This window comes from Homo sapiens, chromosome 18 (assembly GCF_000001405.40).
Source record: "Homo sapiens chromosome 18, GRCh38.p14 Primary Assembly".
In the NCBI taxonomy this organism is placed as follows: Eukaryota; Metazoa; Chordata; class Mammalia; order Primates; family Hominidae; genus Homo; species Homo sapiens.
In genome coordinates, this window is record NC_000018.10 from 31,636,747 (window position 1) to 31,660,040 (window position 23,294).

The 23,294-nt window shown below is 39.5% G+C and overlaps 1 protein-coding gene across 10 annotated transcripts in view, besides 4 other annotated features; it reads right to left on the reverse strand.

Moving 5' to 3' along the window:
• B4GALT6 (beta-1,4-galactosyltransferase 6) overlaps positions 1 to 23,294 on the reverse strand; it is a 102,396-nt gene that overhangs the window by 14,501 nt on the left and 64,601 nt on the right. For 5 of the 10 annotated variants that reach the window (XM_005258387.5, NM_001378109.1, NM_001330570.3 and 2 more), the window contains 3 exons: positions 21,230 to 21,343; positions 8,609 to 8,733; positions 1,898 to 2,014 (listed from right to left, as the gene is read on the reverse strand). In XM_005258387.5, coding sequence (XP_005258444.1) covers positions 1,898 to 2,014; positions 8,609 to 8,733; positions 21,230 to 21,343 — 356 coding nt within the window. The remainder of the gene's footprint in view (positions 1 to 1,897; positions 2,015 to 8,608; positions 8,734 to 21,229; positions 21,344 to 23,294) is intronic. The other 5 variants (NM_001378110.1, XM_017026091.2, XM_017026090.2 and 2 more) reach the window with 2 other exon arrangements.
• Positions 15,504 to 15,603: an enhancer, noted in NCBI's record as "active region_13201". NCBI's record gives its function as "activates an Ori minimal core promoter by ATAC-STARR-seq in GM12878 lymphoblastoid cells {active_cell/tissue: GM12878}" and the evidence as "EXISTENCE:reporter gene assay evidence [ECO:0000049][PMID:35858748]".
• Positions 15,614 to 15,683: an enhancer, noted in NCBI's record as "active region_13202". NCBI's record gives its function as "activates an Ori minimal core promoter by ATAC-STARR-seq in GM12878 lymphoblastoid cells {active_cell/tissue: GM12878}" and the evidence as "EXISTENCE:reporter gene assay evidence [ECO:0000049][PMID:35858748]".
• Positions 21,998 to 22,127: an enhancer, noted in NCBI's record as "active region_13203". NCBI's record gives its function as "activates an Ori minimal core promoter by ATAC-STARR-seq in GM12878 lymphoblastoid cells {active_cell/tissue: GM12878}" and the evidence as "EXISTENCE:reporter gene assay evidence [ECO:0000049][PMID:35858748]".
• Positions 22,628 to 22,787: an enhancer, noted in NCBI's record as "active region_13204". NCBI's record gives its function as "activates an Ori minimal core promoter by ATAC-STARR-seq in GM12878 lymphoblastoid cells {active_cell/tissue: GM12878}" and the evidence as "EXISTENCE:reporter gene assay evidence [ECO:0000049][PMID:35858748]".

A 23,294-nucleotide genomic window follows, 5' to 3' on the forward strand; every position in this document is an offset into this window, starting at 1 on the left:
GGTTTCCAAAACATCACTCTATCCATGTTTAGAAATAATGTAGAAAATTAAATTCTTTTTTTCAATTTATTTTTATTTTTATTTTTATTTTTTGAGATACAGTCTCGCTCTGCCGCCCAGGCTGAAGCGCAGTGGCGCAATCTTGGCTCACTGCAACCTCCATCTCCCAGGTTCAAGCACTTCCCTGCCTCAGCTTCCCAAGTAGCTGGGATTACAGGTGCCTGCCACCATGCCCGGCTAATTTTTGTATTTTTAGTAGAGACGAGGTTTCACCATCTTGGCCAGGCTGGTCTTGAACTCCTGACCATGTGATCCACCCACATCAGCCTCCCAAAGTGCTGGGATTACAGGTGTGAGCCACCATGCCAGGCCAAATTCTTTATATTTACACTTTATAGCCTTTAAACAAAGACTACAAAAAGTAAGTCAAGGTCATTTCAACTCTATTTAAATTAACTATGTTAAAGAATTATGATTTATTCAGCTTTGATAGCATCTGTTCAGAAACAAAACGAATAAGCTTTTTTGACAATATTTTAAAATTCCATTCTCCACCTGGTTCTCTCTTCTAAAAGAATCATAGAATCTCAAATTTGGAAGGGATCTTGGGCATCACATAGTTTAGTCTTCCATGCAATGTATGCTTTTTTTTTTTTTTTTTGACCTGTCAGTTCAATGGATGCATATTTACTTACCAACTGTAGAGCTGGGTCTATATCCTACAACAAAAACAGTCAAGGTTCCTCTACCAAGAAAGATGACTTTGAAAATGAAAAACTGAAAACAGGACAGAAAATGTTTAATGTATACTACTTTTTGTTTTTAGGTTTACTAACTGGCTGTCATTCAGGTGTCTCTGATTACCTAATAAAGTTAATCCAATATTGATTTTCAGGGATAGCCAGCAACTACCCCACAGTACAAAGAAATCCTCAATCGAGAATTAACTATGCTTTGCTGTTGTGTTAAAAAAAGAAAAAAACTTTCCTTCCTTTTCTGTAGTTAAATTCATGGGTCATAAACTGAAATGTTTTTTCAAATTAAACACTGCGAATATAACCAAGGTAACTGTACGGTGCTTTGGTATAATTTAGAAAAGAACTTTGAGTTGTACCAGTTATGAGTCCAGATGTCTGTACATGAGTCTAAATGCTGCCAAGTAGCCTAAATTAGAAAATAAACAGTTTCTCAATTAAATGAAACTTTACAGAGGTTTTCAAAAATAAACATCATAAGCCTAATGAAAACATAAAAAGTAATAATACTATAAGCCAAAGACACATTTAATCCTGTAAGGTAAATATAAGCTGTACAGTTATTTTAAAAACCATAGATTGACAATCCTATATTTAGAATATCATTAAAATATAACGAGGCTGTCATACTAAAGTGAAACATGATTGCTGATTAAGTCATTTGACCAAATTACAATTATTATAAAAGAAATATATGGGCCCAATCCAAAATGTAATTTCACCCAAGTATAAAACTAAGAATTTGGCCGGGCACAGTGGCTCATACCTGTAATCCTAGCACTTTAGGAGGCCGAGGGGGGTGGATCACGAGATCAGGAGATCAAGACCATCCTGGCTAACACGGTGAAACCCTGTATCTACTAAAAATATAAAAAATTAGCCGGGCGTGGTGGCGGGTGCCTGTAGTCCCAGCTACTTGGGAGGCTGAGGCAGGAGAATGGCGTGAACCTGGGGGGCGGAGCTTGCAGTGAGCCGAGATCGCGCCACTGCATTCCAGCCTGGGCAACACAGCAAGACTCTGTCTCAAAAAAACTAAACTAAGAATCAGACTTACCTTATTAATCCTAAATATGTTTAATCTAACCATATCTAAGAGTTTAGATTCTAGTATACTTAGTGACCACTATGAAAAGTATTCTCACCTGTTCAATGACATAAAACGCAAATTCCAGCCGCTGCTTCTGGAGCATTGGAATCAGATGTAAGAAAAAAATTGGAAGATGTTCATGGCGATTACGGAAAGGAATGAGAACTGCCACCTTTAAAACAAAATAGTCATGTATGTAAATAAATATATCTACCACATCCTAGAGGTAAGGATAAAAATCAATCCTTGAAAACTTCTGATGGTTTTAAAGCCACGTCCTTATGAATTTTCTCATCAGAGATACAACAGCAAGCAAACACGCAAAAAGCCCTTGCTGCATGCTGCTATGGTCTTATAAAGCTGAGAGGTAGAAGGGGCTCTGAAGCGTTTTCTAAAGATTGTGGCCTTTAACCTATGAACATCATGAGAAATTGAGAGTGATAAATCAGATGTGGTGACTACAAAGACTACTTTGGTGGCAATATGGAGGGCAGACTGGAGAAGACCAAAAATTGACTCAGGGAGCTAGTTAGGCAATTAGTACAGTCGTTGAGAAAACAGGTAATGGTAGCTTAAACTAACAGGAGGATAAAGGAGAAGAGAAGTACATGGGTTTTCAACACATCTAAGAGGTAAGCTAGCAGGGTTTGGCTATCAATTGGGCATGAAAAGTAAGGGAGGGGAATGTATCATAAGAGTAACGTCTCGGTTTTAGAGTAGATCCTAAATAATAACTTCCTGGATTTTGAATTGAATTTAAAAGACATTTCACTTGAATATCTACTATCTTACACATGGTTTCTCTGTCCTAGAGATATTTTCAGAAATATAATAGAAACCAAAATCTTCACACTCCAGCCATAGCATACAAAAAACCTCAATCATACATGATATTGCCCCAAAATACACATGAAGTTTGATAATTAATATATTTTTCATTTAGTCAAAATGCAGAATTAAGTTTTTGATACATTTTAAAATTTATTTCAGTGGTAGGATAATATTCAGTTTAAAATGAAACTGGTAACAAACCATAACAAGAAAAGATGATGTAAGCAGCACAGACATTTGTCTTTATCAACCAGAGAAATTTGTTCTCATATAAAAAGTAAAAGAAAAAACATGTACATGGAAATGAAAATAGTTTCTTAGTACGTTAATCTTTCTTCTAATATGAAATAAAAAATCTAATGGAACTCTCAAACCCAACACTTAAAAACACCATTTATATAAAATGTTTTAGTGTAATACAAGAATAAATGAATGATCATCAATCATCACTAATTCAAATCCTCTATTTCTTGGATACAAACTTTGTCATACAATCTAGATCTCCTTATAATTTAGATTTTGCCCTTGAAAAACCTAAAGTGTTTTCAAAATTACTTTTCTCAGCAACTTCCTAGCTGAGCTAGCTTTATTATTATTGTGAATTTTCTAATAAAATTGAAATTAAAGCAAGTTTTCTACAGATCATAAATTCCAAAATCATTAGATTTTCAAAAAAACACAACAGTGAAAGTATATCTAACCAAAATACCTCTGTGTTACTCTATAATCTGGATTTTTTAAATATACAATCTAAACTGGTTGTAACAGAATATTGTGAAAGAATATTAAATCCATGATTTACTAAAATTTTACCTATACCAAATAAAGTTTATTAATAAATGAATAAATGGAAATAATTGAGAATACTTAAGTTTTGCACCTAATCCTTTTAAAATCAGGACATGATATTAGATATCATCAAACGAAAATAATATTTAACCATGTATTTTACGTTACCAGGATCATAGATGGCAGAAATTTTTAAATTATTCAAAAAGTTTCATTTATAAAGAGAACAAAAAATGATTTAGTAAAATTGAAGATGTCTAAACTATGAACTCCCCCATTCATTTTCCCTTAATGCTGATGGGATAGCAAAAACAAGAGACAATGGCTGCTATGAGGCTGATGTTTTCATGATAATAATTAATCACAGCATATCTATCTGGCAAATGGTAGGAACTAAAGAGGTCTGGTGCCCCTGCCAGCCCAACTTTGGGTCCCATTCCTTTTTGGTTTCCCCATAACGTCTCTCTTGGCTCAGAAGCCTGAGGACCATGAGGCTACCCCAGCAATACCGACCCAACATCCAAGACCTCCTTCCTGCCCCCGCACAATGGCTGCCAACTGTACTGGAACTATATACTGAGGGGCACTTACTGCTGGGCTTCAGCGCCAATGGCTGGCATATTCAAGGAATTCCCGAATCAAAACAACTGTGAAGCTAGCTCAGGGGTTTACTTTTAGGATGGAAAAGTGCTATGAAAAGTAAAAGGAGCAAAAGAGGTTAGATGGTGAGTACATATCCCACCACTAACCTTATCTAAAGCATATCCATGTGATAACATGTAGCTTAGTAAGTCAAGCCTGCCCTTCTTGATTTTGAATTTGGCCACGAGTTGGCCACCTATGACATAATGTCAATGAGCTGTAAAAGCAGTTAAGGCCAATTACAGATATTTGAGGGAAGAAATTATTAAATGGCTGCAGAGTCCCAATTAAAGACAGTGCATATTAATTAAAGACAATTAGACTGAGTGATGAGCTGAACATATAAGGATAAATAAAAAGTAAAGTTCTAGCTCCTAATACAATAATCTCTTCAATGAAGTATTTAAATATCAAGTGTTTTTTCTTTTAATCTCATAAGGAAACTGAGACGGTAATAAAAGAAATTACCAGTGTCTTGGCAAATTCAAATAAGCTAACCTAATGTGCTAACAGCAAATAGATGTCCAAATTTTAATGAGAGGGTTATTAAATATTGTGAATATGTGATAAATCTAAGGCAAAGCTTTTATTAAAATAAAGCTAAACAATATCTTAAAAGTTCATCTGGCACATCAGTTCTTGTGTTTGTGGAAGAATGTCCTCCATAGTTTACAATTTTTTTGTCTAGAAAAGATCTCAGTGTTCTGTGATCATTTATTTTAAGGCTTAATAGCCTGTTTCAGGACATTCTTCTATGTGCCCTAATTTGCTGTTTGAGCCACTCTCTTGCTGATACACCTCCAGTGGAGACCGAGAATATCTGGTCATTATCTTCTGATAAAACAACACTTCATCCTCCTGAATCTCTCCTCACCACCTCTTGATCAAGCAAAATTATTCCATTCAGTTTGCTCCTACTTTAAAACCACAAATCTTGCTGAACATATGCACCATTTTTTCCCTTGCTTATTTTCTCCTATATACACCATGAGGAGAACATCAAGAAAAATGTGTATCACATCAATTTCTCCCACCAAGTTTCTGTCCTGCTTTCAAATTTTCAGCACACCACCAGCTACACTGTCCCTAAATGACATGGCTTTAGGCTTGGTAACCTTAAGGTGAATCTAGTTATCTGCCACTGAGTAAGCAGAAGCTAGTAAGCCCTCATTCTCCTTCAGTGTTTTTAGTTTCATCTTCCTATTCCTCCTCATTTCCAGTACCTCCAGGAGCAGTTCTCAAACTGGAGGCACTTGGTTAAAAATGCAAGTTCTTGTTCCTTCCCACCAATAGAATCAGAATGTTTGAGGACTGAGTTCAAGAATCTGCATTTTTTTTCTTTTAGAGATGGGGGTCTCATTCTATAGCCCAGGCTGGAGTACAGTGGTGTGATCACACCTCACTGCAGCCTCAAACTCCTGGGCTCAAGTGATCCTTCTGCCACAGTCTTTCAAAGCACTGGGATTACGGGTTTGAACTACCACACCTGGCCAAAAATCAGCATTTTCACCATATGCCTCAAGTAGTTCTGAAACAGGGAGGCCAAGACTCATCTTTGAGGTACATTGGACTATAAATGAAACTCCAGGCCTCTGGGTAGACAAGAGCATCAAGCAGCTGCCTGGTTCTTTAAGCCTGGAAGTTATAGACCAAAGTTGTTCATCAAGCCCTCCATCTGAAATCTGAATGGAAAGTCAATGTCACAGGTACACTTCACTTTTAATGACCTGCATAGCATTCTCATGTTCTTCTTTAGATACAAGCTTGCCCCAGAAGGTGTCCAACCTGCGCAGATCTTCTACTTAAACCTGCAGCATTCAAGAATACCTAGGAATTGCTGAAATTACTAGTGGTTTTTTGTTTGTTTGTGTTGCCCAGTCTGGAGCGCAGTGGGCGCGATCTTGGCTCACTGCAACCTCTGCCTCCCGGGTTCAAGCAATTCTCCTGCCTCAGCCTCCCGAGTAGCTGGGATTACAAGCCTGCACCACCACGCCCGGCTAATTTTTTTATTTTTAGTAGAGACGGGGTCTCAACAGGTTGGCCAGCCAAAATTACTAGTTTTGAAAGATCTCAGTTCTAATTAATTTGCCATCAACTAACTGCATTGGTATTTTTCTCATTTAAAAAAGGGGCCTCAAATATTAAGAATCAAGTTGATGACAGATGTTTAACATAAATCTAGTTATTTCTTATTTCCCTCTCTCTCCACTGTTCCAATATGAGAATGGAACATTATCAGTAAGCAGGCAGGGACGGGTAGGGGGAGAAACCATTTAACTAAATATTTAGTGAGATGATAGTTATATAATATTTATATGAGTACAGCTCACTTCTGAATCATCTCCAAAATTCCTTTCATACCTTTAGTTGTGTAATTCTGAACTAGAGACTACATTCTGAGAAGGATTTGCTAAAAGTTGAAATAAAAGCAGCATTATCATATAGTTCCTAAATAAAATAATTTATTTTGAGACAGCTTGCTCCTTCACCCAGGCTAGAGCGCAGTGGTGCGATCTCGGCTCACTGCAGCTTCCACATCCCAGGTTCAAGCAAATCTCACGCCTCAGCCTCCGGAGTAGCTGGGATTACAGGCATGTTCCACCATGCCCGGCTAATTTTTGTATTTTTAGTAGGGATGAGGTTTCATCATGTTGGCCAGGCTGGTCTCAAACTCCTGGCCTCAAGTGATCTGCCCACCTCAGCCTCCCAAAGTGCTGGGATTACAGGTATGAACCTTAGATCCCTGAATTAGTTTGTTCCCAGGAACTCTTTTCCATACTGTTACCTACTGAATCATATGTAGTTTACAGTCAGTCTACTAATATCTTTAAGTAGGAAATACTCATGTGATACACCTGTCTCCTGGAAAATGAGAAGAAAACAAACAAAAAATTTAAAATCCATCTGGTATAGATCACTAGAAACAGGAGAAAAATACTTCATTTTTCCTATCCTAAACTGTTCTACTAGTATGCTACCCAGAGCACACCTGAGGGGTGTGCTACATTCTGTACAAACAACTATCTGAGCATGAACCTCCATGCTATCCCACAGCCTCGGTGACTGAGTATGCTTCTTTTTCTATTAGCATTCAATATACACACTCAGCACCCAAGTGTTAAAAATAATTTATGTGCCCAGGCTATTTTTAAAAGGTGGAATGTATGTAAATTGGGCCGCATTTCATATAGCTACAAATGTGAGGAAAATCAATCAAGAAATATGAAGAGATTCATTTGTTAAATGAATCTGATCTGGGAAATAGTGTAAGGTAATTATAAAATTAAATGTTTTGCTAAAATTGGTACTGGAATCCATTTAAGCAGCTTCACAACTTGTTCAAGGCAATAAGAAAGCTGACCATTTATTGAATCATTTGTAACAAGGCCAAAAAGGCTTTTATTTGCCTTATAGAGTCAATTCAACAAAACTGTGTTTAGTGCTTACCTTACACAAGACAATGTGCTCTGTGTTGGGAATACAGATACAAATAATACACATCTTCAAACACGAAGAGTTCATGGTAGATGAAGTCAGAGGGTCTTTTTCATGAGTTTAACAGCATATGATTTTCCTTCCTACTAGTGGTTTTTTTTGGGGGTGGGGGGAGGTGAAAATACAAATATTCTAGAAGTATACTAATGTTTTAAAAGATAAACTGTTTCCAGATCAAGGTTATATCACAATCCTTTAGGAAATAACACTTGATTTATCAGTTGTAGTTTTCATTGGAATTACATAAATGTTATTTCTTACTCAAACGTAGTAACATTAGATGAATATGCACTTGTTAACCAATTTCACAGCTTTGAGGGCAAGTCTGGTTTAAATTATGGCTTTCAATTTTTTTAAAGCAGCAGAGGCAAACCCACCCCCTTACAGTTTTTCAAACAAAACACTGAATAGAATTCTGACATATCAAAAAGACTGAAAGAAAGCTTGGGCTGTGCCTTCTGAAGCCAAGAAGAGCCCAAAGTCCAACTTTTCAAGTCCCACAGTGATCTCTGAGCAGCCTCTTTATAATCTTGGATTCTGAGAAACAGAGCTTGAAGACCCCAATGCCAGAACAAACTGAAAATCGGGATATTAATATCCTCCCAGTGAGTTCTCACAATTCAGAAACTGGTGAGGCTATGCTTGCAGGTGTCAGTAATCATTAGGGACAGCTGCAGGAGGCAGGGAACTCACAGCCTCTCTTCCAAACAGAACAGAACAACAAAAAAATCTATTTTCCAAGCCAAACTCAAGTCACGTATTTATTACCAGGAACTCAAAGAGAATGAACCGAGCATCTATTTTGTATCTACACAGGTGCATTTACAGTCTTCACACATAACACTTAAATCACATTTGAATTATAAATAGTAAACATTAAAGACAAAACTTTTGATGTTTTAAATTTATCAAGACTTAAAGACATTTGTCTCTGTATTCTGAATCAAGCACATTCTTTCCTCAAATGCTCAGTAACAATCAAATTGCTTATGAAAAGAATTTACCTCACCTTCCATCTGGGTTTACAGTCTTTTGGCCTCCAATGACCCCCTGGCTCAATATCTAAATCCTTGGAGAAGAGTTGATGAATTTCATCAAAACTGACTTCGCTTACATTGACATTGAGGAATCCTCCTACAAATTAAAAATGTAAAGAATTGTTTTAATATTTTTTGCCTCAAAGATCTAGTAGAACAAATAATAATCAGCAGGGTGATGGCATATCTTAGTTGCCAGGACAATACAGTTTACTCCTGTTACCACCACAAAATTATGAATAGCGCTCCCTTTCACTTTTAGTTTCAATGATAATATATATGGTCACCCTTCTATGTTTGGTAAATCGGCCAAAGAAAATCAAATTCTTTTTAAAAACCGTTTTGCTTTTGGGTAATATATTGAATAATTTAGTATTATTTGGAAAATGTTTGCATGTCATTATAACTTAACACTGCAATTTAACAACTATTCAAATATTTTAATACCATTTTTAATTTTAACATTTTCAACACAGGGGACACAATGGCACAGTACTTAACAATGAAATAAGCAGTCAGATTGACTGGGAACTGATTCCTAGCTTCTGTCTATTGGGAAAATGATTTAACCTCTCTGTGCCTCAGCCTCCTCCTCTGTAAAAAGGACAGTGATGTCTGCCTCCCAAGGTGGTTGTATCCATTCCAAGAAATCATCTGTGTGAAGGATCATATGCCGTGTCAGGCATTAGGTACAACCAACAAATGTTAGCTACTATTACTGTTACCTACTGACATTTCTTAAGAGAGGGAATTTGCAAACATAATTCAAAGTACTGATTCTGAGCACTTACCATATATCAGGCCCCTTGGCATACAAAACTGAAAAACCACTTCTGAGGTATTCCTGGTCTAACAGGCACTCATTCTCCAAATTAACAAATATATGACATTACTGGAGGTGTTCTTACTAGTAGCTTTTCTAATGTATACCATTGAAACAGGAATGAATCTTGAATGGAAAACCACTTCCGTTAACCCCAAAAGAGAACTAAGAATCAAGAAGCCTCTTTATCTCCCCCTGAATTAAAATAGCTGCATGATCACTAACATCCCTTCAAAGCAATGCTATCTTCAATGACTTCACTGTTAGAACAGGATGTAAAAGGCTATTGAAACTACAGATCATCTTTTAGCAGTTTTAATGTCATCCGTTAACTTCCAAATAGGTACAAATTGCTCTGGAGCGCCCTCCAGCCAAATTCTTCTCTCTGACCTCATCTCATAAAATACAAACCAACAAATGTTGAGGTTTCCCATTTCGAGTCTTCTGAGTTTCATGTGGCCACAATTTCATATAAAAACACTCAGTTCCTCTCTAGAGAGCCTCTTTGCTCCTGCTATTCTATATTTTAGGAGTTTTCACAATGGCCTCTCTTCCTGTCCCCACTTCATCCTAACCAGGCAGAGCTGTCTGTAGCCTCCACGCAGGCATGCTAGAGTATTTTACATCGAAATACCTGCTTCCCAGAATAAGTTAGAAAAAGAATTGCAATCTTCTAATGCCTGCCTGTTCTACTGACAACATAAGCAGTCTTTTATAACCAAACACTCAGCCTTCAGCGTGACAAGATACACAAACTAGCTAATCTTAGAAAGGTCAGATTCATCTAAAAGAAAGAGAAACCTATGAACTTGCAGAGAAAGAGTAAGTAAAATGTAAGATTGATCAGTAAACATAAGTACAGACTATCATGACTCAGCTGACAAAGAACAGAATCTAACATTGTAATCAAATAAAATTTACACAAATAAATCTGATACATTTAATAGTATGCATGATTGCTAAAATGATAGTAATTAGGCTAAATAATAAGCAGTTCATATAAGTAACTGAAGCTGGTATTCTTTCTGCACTGTTAAACCACATTTTTTGTCTTTTTTCCAGCTTTATTGCTTCAACAGCTGTAATCATCATTATTGTCAGCAGTTTTCTCCAGCATCATTTGCAGTTTAATTTCCATCTCCAACGCATATGTGCTGGCAAGAGACAGGCTTTATTTCTTTCCCTCAATAGAGAGGGCTTCCTCTGTCCATCACTATCCCCATGCCTGAGGTATCCTAAGTTCACACTCCTCGGGGTTGTGCACCTCCCCCACCCCATCCACACCCCTCAGAGTCCATCAGGAGCTTTCCTATGTGCTTGTTGCCCTTTGCTCTGAAATCCTAGTAATTTGCTCATTGAAGGCTAAAGATTGACCTGGTGGCATGCTACCCATGATAAGAGCAACATCGCTATACTGGGGAGTGTAGGGGACAGGCCTCCCAGGACAAGTATTGCCACCACTGGGAACAGCGAAAGTGTGATCAGAGAGAGGAAGAACAAACATTCATCATTGTGGGGAGTGGTATTAGGGAGAAGATCCTGTACATAGGAAGGGAAGGGAAAAGGTCATGTTATAAAAAGAGTGGCCAGGAAGAAGTATGCTGCAGATAAACTAATGATGGTGTGGTTTCCAAACCGTCCTTGGGAAGGACCTCTCTCAGGGATCCTGTGGTTGGAGAAGGGAGGACTCAGGCTCCCCCAACACAGCCACTTTCATCTCTTTCGCGTACTCTTTTGTCCCCTTTAGGTTTCACTCAAGAAAGCCTTCCACTGCTTTAAAAACAAAACAAAAGGCATCGGAAAACCACCTGCTATGAATGAAGCTAGAGAGGGAATGTCCTTCTTGTAAAGAAGGACACCATCAACTGGGCCAGTCCCCTTTATTTCACTCGCTGAGATTTCAAGGGCAACTGAAGAGATCCACTGAACTCCATGGAGAGCCAATCTTCACTCTCCTCTGTGGTGAATCTGAGATTGGTTGTTGTTGTTCTTAATCCCAGATGTAATAGTATAAATCTAAGATTTTTAACTGGCACAAGTGGTTTCTTTCCCAGTTAGAGATTTAAAGATCAGAAAATAAATATGTTGACTGAAATCCATTTACCCAGCAGTGTAATCACAATCAGCAAATGTAAATAATATAATTTACCAAATACTGAATTTCACTATTTTGAAGGTGGCGCTGGGGTTAGAAAGGAAAGAGCAGGAGAACTGAGTGTCTGAAGAGTGGAGGGGCTGCCAAGTACCTAGAAGGTCAAGGTGAAGGACAGGGAACTCAAGTCAGCTGGAAGCTACCTTCCAGTCGTGTGTGCCAAACTGCTTCTATCATGTGTGAGGGTAACTTAGTTGCACCATTGGTTATGTAGGACATTTACTATATCCTAATGCTGAATTTGCAAGATATGCAGCAATGCTGCCCATCTGGGAAAGCCAGGCATGCATGGGCCCAAACAACAGGCTTATTGTGCTATGGATGATAATGTATCACATGACATGATTTAGGATTTTACTTTTTCTATTAAAATATAATTCTTAAAATAACAAATATTCAAAACCTATGAATTACCTACGTTTATATTTTTCTAACATTTCAAGTAAAATTTAAGGCATATAATCTCCAGAGAGTTGTTTGTTCTATAAATCAATAGTTTTAAATAACTATTTCATTTTGCTTGGAGCCTATATCTATTTTTTGGTATCTAAAACCTAATTCTGGATATGTTGGCTTTTGTCTGTTTTACCCTCAGGGTTTTAAATGTTCACAGCTCAAAGAGCTGATGACAGTGTCAGAGAAAGACCTGAATTTCCCCTAGAAATGTCCCTTAGGGTAAATTCCTCTCCAAAGCTAGAAAAGCATTTTTATGACAAGATGGGACATTCCCTCCCACACTCTGTGCTGCCTCCTAAGCACAGCTCTGAGGCTGAACAGTTATGAGTCATCCAGCCATTGGTCACCTCCTGTCCTTTCTGAAGCCAACACTAGATACTGCCTATTTCAAATGCTTTACTTAAGCTTCTCGACTTATAAAATTTGACAACCTCTGCTTAACAAACGATTTATTACTCAAGTTTTCTTGAAGCAACCAAACCTGAGCATTCTAAACATAAGACAGAGCATTAGTCACACATCCCCACTGCCAAGGGCAATGCCTGGACACAGAATGAATGAATGAATGAATGAGTAGGAAGATTCCTGTCTCATCCCTGCTTCCACCTACCTGCATTTCTACTCCCTGGCTCCATCAGGTGCTAAAATATTTCTTTAAGACATTTATGCAAAACTGTGCATACAACAAAGTCCTAATATCCAGAATCTATAAGGAATTTAAACAATTCAACAAGCAAAAAACAACCCCATTAAAAAATGAGCAAAAAAAAAAAAAAAAAAATGAGCAAAAGATACTAACTTCTTAAAAGGAAACATTCAAGTAGCCAACAAACAAAAAAAAATGCTCCAAATCACAAATCATCAGAGAAATGCATATTAAAACCACGATAAGACAGCATCAAATACCAATAGGAAAAGCCATTATTGAAAAGTGAAAAAACAACAGATGCTGGCGAGGCTTGGGAAGAAAAGGAGATGCTTATACACTGTTGGTGAGAATGTAAGTTAGTTCAGCCACTGTGGAAAGCAGTTTGGAGATTTCTCAAAAAACATAAAACAGAACTACCATTTGATCCAGCAATCCTATTACTGTGTAAATATCCAAAAGAAAATAAATCATTCTACCAAAAAGGCACATGCACTATTATGTTCATTGCAGCAATATTCACAATAGTGAATTCACAGTGACACCCAGCTCTGTGTCCAGACCCTGAACCACAGTCACCTAGAAATGACTGGCTTTCAACTCTGACACTGCACCCTCTCATTAAAGCCTCTTTCTCTTTCACCTTCTCCCACTCCCCTCCCATGAAGTCCCTCTTCAATTCCATGAAGACTTGAAGTCCTCTCTGCTATATCCACACTGGCCTCTGTATAAAGTGGTTTGCTAATTTTGATGTGTGCCTAAGAATTACCAGCTGTGCTTGTTTAAAATGCAGCTGACTGGCCACATTGTCAAAGTTTCTGTGTCAGTTGAAGCTCATGGGTCACGTTTATGGCCACTGGCTTTAACTGAACACATTTCAACGGCTTGAACTACCCACCATTGGGTCCTGCCTTTCAAAGGAAAAAGCTAGAACCCACTCTCCAAACCCCTCTAACAGGTAGGAGTGGTCATATGACCAAATGCACCCGAAGTGGTGGCAAAAGCTTCTAGCTTTACAGGAACCAAGAAGTGGCACTTCTGGTCTCCAGACCTGAGCAATGCTGGTAGGAGGTTTAAGCCCTGACAAGTGGCAGCAGGAGATGCTTCAAAGCGGTCTGAGCCTTGTTCTGGCTGCTCAATTTCTCAACCTAATTCTCTAGCCACCCAGGTTGTCTCTGGGCTCTCTAATATATTTTCATGAATTCTTTTTTCTCTTAAATCAGATAAAGTATATTCTGTGGTTTGCAACCAAGAACCCTGACTTTTGCAGTCTAGGGTTTAGCTCAGAGGCTTCATTTTTAACAGGTATCCCAGCTGCATTTTTTTTGAGACGGAGTCTCGCTCTGTCACCCAGGCTGGAGTGCAGTGGCGCCATCTCGGCTCACTACAAGCTCCGCCTCCCGGGTTCACACCATTCTCCTGCCTCACCCCCGAGTAGCTGGGACTACAGGCTCCTGCCATCATACCCGGCTAATTTTTTGTATTTTTAGTAGAGACGGGGTTTCACCGTGTTAGACAGGATGGTCTCAATCTCCTGAGCTTGTGATCCACCCACCTCGGCCTCCCAAAGTGCTGGGATTACAGGCGTGAGCCACCGCGCCCAGCCCCCAGCTGCATTTTTAACAAGTGTAGATCATCTGAATCACACTTAAGAGAAATGCAGCTCTATGACCTTCACCCGATCACAGCACCTACACACTGACAAACACCTTATCTACCACCCCCTCAACCTGCCACACCTGAGCTACAGGTCCCATCCTTGCAGCGACAATTATCCATGCTCCAATTCTTTACCTAATAAACAGCACTAAAGAAAGCACGTAAGCATATAGATTAATCCCATCATTTGGGTGGCAATACCTAACATATTGCCTCAAGCATAGTAAGGTTTCAGCAAAAACAAGTGTCACTTTTTTTTTGTATTGTGACTCCACCAGGGTGGGGTGGGGGGCTCTCTAGGATAACCTGTTAGTCACCTTCTAATTTATGATTAGTTGACTTCACTTTTCATTCCCTATGACAACTTTTTAAATACTTACTCCTCCCTTTCAAGCTGCTCAATCCTTCCTGGCCATCCCCTCAGGGACACACGGCCTCCTGCTTTACTAGGAAAACAGACACAGCAGGCACGAGCACCCTACCTCTCCACCTCATCTCCAAATAAACCGCGGGCTTCCTCAGGGGAGGAGGCATTCCTGAGGCTTTCCATGCTCACTCTTCAACCTGAGGCATTGTCTCCATTCACTTTCTAACCTGGCTCTATGGAGACCTCCCTTGTGCTTCTCCCTCATCCTTCCCAGTTCTCTTCTCTTCATCTTTTTCTTTTTTTGAGATGGAGTCTCCCTCTGTTTCCCAGGCTGAAGTGCAGTGGCGAGATCTCAGCTCACTGCCAGCTCCACCTCCTGGGTTCACGCCATTCTCCTGCCTCAGCCTCCCCAGTAGCTGGGACTTCAGGCGCCCGCCACCACGCCCAGCTAATTTTTTTTATTTTTGGTAGAGACGGGGTTTCACTGTGTTAGCCAGGATGGTCTCGATCTCCTGACCTCATTATCTGCCCGCCTCGGCCTCTCAAAGTGCTGGGATTACAGGCGTGAGCCACGGCGCCCGGCCTCTTCTCTCCATCCTTTCTTTCCATGATGCCTACAACATGCTCAAGTCCATCTCTTCCTAAAGAGCTCTTCCCTTACCTCCACCTCCTCCAGATCCTTTACCCCAATCTCCTTCCCTTTGCCACCAAACTTCTCTCATTTCACCTACAGTCTACATACACTTCTGACGCACTTCTCAAGAGTCTACTTTGCTTCTCTCCCAATCATTTTACTGAATTCGTGCTTGCTGTGTTCTCCATTCGTTTTCTGCACCAAATTCAGTGGCCCTTTCACAGTTCCTCACTCTCCCTGCTGTCTGGAGGTGTGTGACAAGACACAGCAGTCTTGTCTCTCTGGGATGTGTTCCTGCCTCGCCCCCCAGACACCACCCTCTGGCTTCTCTAGGTTCCTGTCTCCCCTTCTTCTGTTAACCGCCACTCACCTCACAAGTACGGATTTTCTCAGGGACCCACTCTCAGCCTTCTTCCCCTCTCACTTCCTCTGATGTTCAGTCCGGATCTCTTACTAAAGGCAGACCCCAAGTTAACCCTCTTGAACTTCAAACAAAACGGCCCAAACGGAACCCACTAACTTCCCCATCCTCCAAATGCGACGGTTACTCTGTATCACACTTCAGTTCATGGTCACCAAGTCAGAAACCTGGAAATTAACCCTCACCCCTCAACTGGTCGCCACATCTGGCCAATGGCACCCTGTAGGTTCTTTTTTGTGCCTTCTCCTCTCTCCAACGCCACAGCCTTGGCACTTGCCCTTGTTGTTGCCCGTCGGCTTCCTGCAGCAAGCTCCTCATTGGTCTCCTGCTGATCCCAGTATTTCTCCATTCTCACCCATTGTTCAGCTTCTCATGTGAATAATCTTCCTAAAATACAATCCTAGTCCATCATTCACCTGCCTAAAGCCTTCGATGGTTCTCCATTTCCCTAAAGCAGTGGTGTTTTTTGTTTATTTTTGCTTTTTTTTTTTTTGCCCCTAGACCCTTTGAAAATCATGCACTGTCACCTGAGAGAAATGCATACAGGCTCATAAATCAACTGTCTGCATGTAAGCTCACAGGCTCTTCTCCCTCTGAAGCTCACCTCATGGATGCCTAGGAATGATGGAACCCACAAGGCCCTCAGATTCCTCAGTCCTTTACACAAGACCCTTCTAGCCAGCTTCATTTCCCATACACGCCACTTAACACACCCTCTCTGGGCAGAGCCGACCACTCTCCAGTCCGGGAATACACAGAGCCTCCCTTGTGGTGATGCTGTTCTCTCTCAGCTATCTTGTAAGACCCAGTTCTGATGACACCTCTCTCTGACATCGTCCTTTCCCTTCCAAAATAAACTGCTGTCTCCCTTTTGTCACATTCATAACCTTTTTTCTTTTTTTTTTTTTTTTTTTTTTTTTGAGACAAAGTCTCGCTCTGTTGCCTGGGCTGGAGTGCAGTGGTGCGATCTCGGCTCACTGCAACCTCCGCCTCCAAGGTTCAAGCGATACTCCACCTCAGCCTCCCAAGTAGCTGGGACTACAGGCACGCACCACTGCACTTGGCTAATTTTTGTGTGTGTGTTTTTGGTAGAGACAGGTTTCACCATGTTGGCCAGGCTGGTCTTGAACTCCTGACCTCAAGTAACCCACCTGCCTCAGCCTCCCAAACTGCTAGGAAACAGGCATGAGCCACCACGCCCGGCCTCATAATCTTTTCATAGCATGCCTTTCTCCAAGTGTGTTACCTGCTCCAAGCTGCCACACACATGACCACGTTCAGTCTTGTCTCTCCCGTACCTGCTTCTATGAACAACACAGGGACCGCTGCACAGCGGCTGTTCATCAATGACTTGTTGACTCTAAAATGGCTCCCATCTCATTTTTTTTTTTTACAATAAACATATGCATGACAGTTTGTTACATTAGCATTATTTGAGCTTTGCTGACGTTTGTTTGCTTATCTTTTCCTTCTTTGCTGATTTTCATTTGAATTATTTAAATCCATCTCAAGAAGTCCTTGGAGCTTTTGTTATATTCATAAGGTTAGCAACTATAGAAACTATCAGGGTTAAACCATAAAGGGAACTATTCCACAAATAGTAAGAACAGAATATATAAAGGTCACTGCAAACGTATTCTATTTGAATAAGAATTAAAAGATAGGAAAACTAAAGGTAAGTCTATTTTCAGTCTAATGCAGAGTATGCAATTGACATTTTCCATTTCTACCTCACCCATAAAAATTAAAATCAAAACATCCACACTAAGCACTTATTAATTTTTAGCCTTAGACAAGGTGAAACTTCTATTTTACTTTGTTAGCACAAAGAATCTTACATAAATGCAATAAAGCTGAATGTGGATTTGCCCTTTGGAAAATCTATAAATACTAACAAACAAGAAAGAAGTATTCACTCATACTCTTCATATAAAATATACATATTAAAATAGGCTTTATAGTGTAATTGGCCACTATTGAATATGAAACACTGCTGAAATGTATGAAACACATTTTATCTGTATTCTAGTTTGAAAAATTCACTTTATCTTTACAGAAATCCAGTGCCAGTGTTTCCATTGCTATACTAAGTAAAAATCAAAGAAGTTTACAACAGAATAATCAAATACACCAGTGTTAAGCCTTAACTTCACTTTTAGTGACTATAAGTAAATATTACTTGTACTTGAATGGTTTTCATCTAAGTAGATCTAATTCTTACACAAATCCCTTCTAATTATTATTTGGGAAAGAATCATATTCAATTATTTTGTGTAACTATTATAAGATTTTATACTTATGTATTTTATTGCATTGTTCTCTATTATCAATGAAAACTATCTTTTTAAGTAAAAAAATGTAAGGATACATAGCTAATAATAAAACTTCTAAACTCCACACATTTCTCCTAGGTGTCTCATTTCCTTGACCATTGTAAAGTCTGGCTCTATTATTCAAAGAAGGAGGGAGAAGGAAAGGGAGAATCAAATTAATACCTATCAAACTTTAAGCACTGTGTGCTTCATTCTATCCTTACCACACTCTGCAGATGGTATTGGAATCCCAGGTTTTACAGGTAGGTAAACTAAGCCTCCACTTTGCGGAGGTCACAGGACAAGTGAAGTGCTCTGTCGGGCAGCTCGTGCAAGGCTCTCTTGGCAGAAGCCTCGTTATGTTGGCTGTACCCATGGCTCCTTTCTAAAGCCTTATCTGTATGTGGCTGTATTTTCTACCAAATCACCTTGCCACCATGGCCACCACGGCCACCACTAATTGGGCACAAAATTGGGACAGGACCCAAAGTTGGCAGCCCATGAGAGGGACTGCTGTGAAAAGATGGCTGGCCACACTAGTGTGATCCTCTCTTATAAAAGAATGCAAGGATCCCAGGGAAGCAGAGAGAAGGGGCAGTAGTGCTGAGACCCCTCCCCACCCCCAGTGAAAAGGCAGTGCACAGCAGCCACGCACGACGCAATCTCTCAGGCACCACAAGAGATGGTACAATGGGCTGTGGGGCGGGAGGAGAGGAGTACCAGAATGATGAAGTGGCAGACAGATGCTTTGAAATAGAGTTTAATTAGTACTCATAAAGCACTAATTAAAGAAAATGGCAACTAAACCAAGAACAGAAAGATTTCCTGAAACTATAAACCTTGAATATGAAAATTATGAAGATGAAATTATTGTAATCAATATTTCAACAGAACATTACCCAGTGGTTTCAGTATTACACAGACAAAAGTATTCATTTTTAGGAAAACAAGGCTGCAATAACAAAGTAATGACAACCACAAAAATCACTGAGTTCCATTCTTTATTATGGTACAGCAAAGAGACAGCAAGATTAGAATCACCTGAGAATTTTTTTTTTCTTAAATACCAGGGACCAGGCCCACTACTCTAGATCAGTGGGTCTCAATACGTGGCCCAAGGCTCAGCGGCAACAGCATCACCTTGCGGGATTTGTTAGAAATGCAGATTCTCAGGCCCGCTCCAGACCTGCTGAGTCTGAAACTCTTGAGAGCTGGACCAGCAATGGGGCTTGACAAGATGATCTGGGTGATTCTGATGTACCCCCAAGACTGAAAGCCATGGCCTTAGATGATATTAGAAGGTCAATCTTTCTTTTTATTATTGATATATAATATCTATCAACAATAAGCTAAAACAAGTCCTACAAATATGATAGGCAAAGGCTAATTTCCTCAATTAAAAAAGCTCGTGTCAAGAATAAAAAACACAGATACAAAATACATCAGAATATGGATAAATAAGCAATTCAAAAAGATGTTTATTTAAATCTTTATATCAAATCCAAGATACAAACCTATATGTACAAAGTAGGCTTAAAAATCATGGGGCAGGGGTAGAAGATACACACACAAAAAAAAGCTAAAATAATAGCCGTGTGGCTTCTGAGTGTTGACAGTACAGTATAGTGTTTTTTTTAAAATAATGATAATGTATTATCTTCATAATTAAAAATATATATATTTAAAGTACAGTAGCTTTATCACTACCACATATTACACACAAAGGTTAAAAACAAAATAGTAAAATCATTAGAAGGAAATAAAGGTATTTATCTGTATGGCCTCTGGGTAAGAAAAGGTTTAAGACCAAAAAAAAGCAAAACACCTAAGTAAAGTTATTAAAAAATTTGAAAAGGTCATAATTTTAAACTTCCATAAAATAAAAGACAAAACAAGAAGCCTGGGAATGTGAAAAGATACTTACAAAACACATAGCAGACAACAGGCCACTGCCAGAATATAAAGAATTTCTACAGATCAATACCAACACACAATAACCAACCAGGAACTGATAAAGCCCATGATGCAGCAAGTCACAGGAGAGAAAATTTAAAAACACAAACATAGGAAAACTTACTCAAACCCACCAGGAATGAGGGAAGTGAAAATCGAAACAACGAGAAACCATTTATCTTTCAGATTAGCAAGAATTTAAAAGTCCATCAATATCAAAGTGGTACATTCATGCTTTGCTGTTAGGGATATAAATTGGTATAGCTGCTTTTGAGAGCAATTGACAAAATCTGGAAAACCTGAGCCAACCTACCCAGCAATTCCACCACTAGCCATCAACCCTCAAGTACACATGCATATACGCACAGGAAAACTCACACTCTGTTGTTCTTTATACCAAAATATATATATATATTTTTTTTGCTATTTTGTGATAGCAAAAATGTTGAAACCACCTAAATGTTCATCAGTGGGGAAACAGGTAAATGAGATGTGATACATTTATACAAAGACGTACCACACAGTAATAGTTAAGGGAAAAAAATTAGATCTATATGTAACAACATGGGTAGTTCTCAAAAAAGTATGTAAAAAAGCAAGTTACAAGAATGAAATGTACTTTATAGACCAATTTACATAATTTCTCCTTTGAAACAATATCTATTTTCTATACAGACATCTATCTATGTAGAAAACAATTTTCATAACCGGAAAGAATACTCAGCAAACTCTCAGTAGAGGTGAGGTTACTTCTGAGGAAGGAATGGGGAGCCAGCACTGGGGATGGTGGTCAAAAAGGACTGGCTTAATCAGGAACATTATAACATATTCAAAAGGAGACTACACATTAATTGCTCTCTTAAGCACTGTTTTAAAAGAACTTGGACATAGGTAAGCCGAAGTATTAGTTTTTAAAACTGGTTGGGAACAATATGGGTATTTGTCATTTTCCCCCTTTGTATTTTTCTTCAGCTTTTCAATCATCCCCCTTCAAAATGCGCTTTGCCAAAAAATAAATAAATAAATAAAAGTTCAAATAACATGCTGCATAATATAAACATTTGCACCCAGGTGCACATGACCTGCTCCTGCTGCACTCAAATCATGTGGTTTTTATGACTGTATTGTAACACAAGTAAACAGTTAAGTCAAAATTAGATGACGACTTACGCATATAAGGCAGCTTTTCTGGACAGGGGAGGTATGGTGAGTATGTGAAGTTTTCCGGGAGATACGTTGTTGTTTGAACAAGATAATCACTTGAATTATTGCCTTCGGGATAATCTTGGAAAGAGAGAAAAGAGTTACAAAAAAAAAAAAAAGGCCTTTTGCTTTCTCCCTGGAATGAAATACGTCACTATCACTGGGAGAAAACTACAATATACAATCTACAGAAGTACTTAAAATCAATTATCTTTAAGGAACTAGAGAACAGCAAACTGCTGCGGGGAACAGACCTCTCAGCATGATTTCCCAAGAGACATCTAGAGAGCAGCACACCCTTATCCTTGCACACAGACATGGCAGTCCCACTTGCAACCATGTGAGAACACCTGCTCCCGTCCCTCCCCTGGCTGAGCCCGATCTACAGGGAGTGTGAAAGTACACCAGGGAATCCCCTCCACTATGGCACAGCCAGGGGTGTTCCAAACCGCTGCGTGCTGCTACTAGCATCCACAGAGCAGAGGGGTGGGAGTAATGTTTTCTTACCACCTCACACTGTAGAAACTGAGATTTACCCACTCAACTTACTTTTGTAATACAGCTCATTCTAAACCTTTAAGTTAGTCATTCCCAGCCTGTGGGCTGCAGCCCCGGGGGAGCCCTGGAGCTATTATTACATTAGGTCCATTATCTTTAGAGTCAGCAAATTAAACTGCATACAGGGCACCAAAGTCAAATGCCTGAGTTCAAATCCTTGCTCCAACACACTGTAGCTGTGTGATACAGGGCAGGACACGATGTAGCTTGCCATCTATGCCTACTTCATACTGTCATTTTTAAACTTCAATAAGACAAAATGTGTAAGGTGCTGAGAACAATCCCTGGCCCATAGAAATAGCTAATAACTGTAGCTATGAGCGATTAGAGATGAGCACCTGACCCACGAGACAGTCACAGGCTCAGGATTTTTGAATGTGGAACCAGAGAGATCACATTTCAGTCCCTTTCTGGAGCAAAGTTCTGAGACGCAAATCTAGAAACCATGACACACAGGTTTCCTGCTATGTAGGGAAGCTGGCCTAAGAGAATGACATCAACATGCAATGAGTGAAATGAGAGACGGAAACAGCTCATTAAACTACCGTCTGTCTCCTGGATCACAAACAATGTACTACAGAAAGTGAAACTCTAGCAGACACTTTAGGAAAATGTGAAGATATTCTTTGAATGTTGAGTAATCTGCTCCAATGAGAGACAATGTAGAAGCTAAACCCTCTGACCATAGGGAAATGAGAGAATCCTGCGAATTAGATAGGAAGTATGTGAGAGGAGCCAAAGAAAACTAAGCACCTCCATTGCACACCTTTACCTAACATCAATATTCAGTCATTGTCACAATGGAGTTGGTGGGGATGCTGCCTAGGAGTCAGGACAGTACTTCAGGGCAGAGACTCACGCCACCTGCAAGACTGCTGAATGAAAGAGGCCCTGCCACGGCTGCTAAGCAGAGGGTGTTGGGACGGGCAAAGGTTCCAGGCTGGGTATCAAGGAGGAAACAGAAGCCACAAGAGAAGGTCCAATTCCAAAGAAGTGCTTGGAAACCCCAGTTACAAATTTCACAGGGCATCAGTAAGGTGTTAAGGTAAATGCATTCCCAGAAAACCCCAACATAGTAGAGATCAATGATGGTACAACTGCTAAGGCCTATCCTACCAGGAAGTGGGAAAGCCCCAATGAGACAATCCTCCCCACTCTCCCTGGGCGAGTGCTGGAAAGTGTCTGACAAGGAAAATCTTCCAAATAACAAGGGGAGGAGAAATTCAGTGAACATTAATTGTTTTGTATGCCCAGTGACACCCCAAGACCACAGACACTACACTGGTAGCCCATGCTCAATGTATTCCCCATATGTCTAAAAGATTTAAAGATACCAAGCAAAAGCAAGTGTAAGGAAGTCCAATAAAGTTCTGATTCTTTTCCTTTTTTTTTTTTTTTTTTTTTGAGACAGGATCTTGCTGTGTCACATAGGCTGGAGTGCAGTGGCATGATAATAGCTCACTGCAGCATTGAC